This window comes from Homo sapiens, chromosome 4 (assembly GCF_000001405.40).
Source record: "Homo sapiens chromosome 4, GRCh38.p14 Primary Assembly".
Lineage (NCBI taxonomy): Eukaryota > Metazoa > Chordata > Mammalia > Primates > Hominidae > Homo > Homo sapiens.
Genome location: NC_000004.12, coordinates 77,468,174 through 77,470,437, shown reverse-complemented (window position 1 = coordinate 77,470,437; position 2,264 = coordinate 77,468,174).

The following is a 2,264-nucleotide window of genomic DNA, read 5'->3' as shown; positions in this document are numbered from 1 at the left end:
AAAATAAAGGGGGAGAAAGCAGGATGGGGTGGCTTGGAAAGCTTTTGGACCATGCTACATACCTGATAGTATCTTGGTGAACCTCAGAAAGCTCTGGAGCAAAGATTACCCACCAGAGGAGTTCCTACTTGGTCAAAATGGCCAGGCAGGCCCTAGCATCCCAACCATACTACCTCACTGGCTGGGAGCTGCCCAGGGCACCACAGAGAGAAGGTCCGTCAACAGCTCTCCTCATAGCTCCACTGCAAGCCCTTTCTTGAAAGGGAATCTGAGCAAGGTATCTCCATGGTTGCCTCAGGGTGCCAGTTTCTTAAGGCAATCTCCCTCAGGCTCTGAATCAGAGCTGAGTTCCGACAAACTCTAGATCAGCTTATATGTTCCTTACAACCAAGGCAAAAGCCACTCTTTAAAAGAATGAGAAAAGTGCAGTTGCACACAGCAGCAACGACAGCATAGGCACCAGGATTGTCTCCTACAAGATCGCAAAGATTAGAAAAAAGCCCCATCAATGGAGGAATCATGACAAGGCCCAAATAGAAAGAATGCAAGGTATGTTAGAGATTGATTTTCTTATTCCTTCACTAGTGGAGGAAACTTAAAACACTGGATGTAAGTTCCTGAAGTCAACAATTATCTTCATCTCTGGTCTTCTCTTTCCACATCAACTGAACACTGCTTTGCTATGGCTTTGTAGATTATGTACTTTTCTCTCACTCACTTTTTGGAATTATAGGAGTTTTTTCTGTGTAACTCAAACCTCCTGAACCTAGGGCCTGTGTCTTAGTTTGGGTCCCTATCTTAGTCTGTTTAGGCTGCAACAAAATACCATAAACTGGGTGGTTTACAGACAACAGAAATTTATGTCTAAGTTTTGGAGGCTGGAAGTCTAAGATCAAAGTGCTGATAGGCTCAGAGTCTGGTGAAGGCTTGTGTCCTGGTGCATAGCTGTCTTTTCACCATGTTCTCACATGTTGGAAGCGGTGCCTGAGCTTCCTCGGGCTTCTTTCATAAGGGCACTAATCCGATTCGTGAGGGCTCTGCTTTCATGACCTAATCATCTCCTAAAGGCCCCACCTCCTTATATCATCACCTTCAGGATTAGGATTTCAACATAAATTCTGGAGAAACACAAACATTCAGATCATAGCAGCCTCCTAAAAGCAGAGACTAAGATAAGAATTTGGGATTGCCTCCTACATAAACTGCCTGTGCCCAGGAACCAGGAGTGAAAAAGAAGTGAAACAGGGAAGGAGAAAGAGTCAATGTAAGGCACATTATTGAAATCTGCACTCCAGCTTTTCACTCTTGAGGAGGGGTCTGTATGCTTCTCAGACTTTTCACAAATAGTAACTCCTCAGCTCTTCCAGGCTGCACATAGAAAAGAGCATGGATTGGTAAAAGTCAAGCCCATCAGAAAAGCCAGTGTGAGCCTGGGGAGCACACTGCAAGGATGAAGTGGGAGGTAAATGTCTACATGTCTACTACGGGCCTGGCTGAAGCCACAGGTGGCTGAGGGGATACAATGTGGTCATACAATGGGTCAATTTGACCTAAACTCTAAGTATTCAAAATATGTCATTCCTTTGGGTTAAAGCCATTGCCTTTAAATAAAACACTATGGTCAATGGTGCACATAAGGGATAACACATTGATCTGGATATGAGCTGCTCCAACAGCTTAAGAAATTCAGAGGAAGTTCAATAGTTTAGCGAGTCAAGGGATAACTGAGAACATGGTATTATGAAAGCAAAACATTAGACACCATTGAATACATAGGGCTTTCTTATTTATTTTTTTTAAGAGACAAGGTCTCACTAGGTTGCCCAGGCTGGTCTCGAACTCCTGGGCTCAAGCAATCCTCCCACAGAGCTGGAATTACAGATGTGAGCCACTACACCCCGTCTATATATAGGACTTTTCATGGTTACCACTGGGATGCCCCCAAAGACCTCGTTAGCCACTAATCCCATGACAACTGAAAAGTTATTCATGGCCTTGGATTCCAATTCTTTTGTCTCACGATCTGGTTCCCTCCTTAGTGCTGGCTTCTCTCCTAGACGTTTTTCCGTTTTCCTGCTATCCATCTGACTCGGAAGCAAAGATATCTAAGAAGGCCAACATTAGCCTTGAACCTTGACATTAGGAGAAATCAGTGCCCACAATAGACAGTGCAATATTTTGCATAGACAAAAAATGATTCATGTTCTGCAGTTGGGTGTCTGGAAGGGTCTTGACACAGAACAACCAAGCTAGTAGGGGAGATG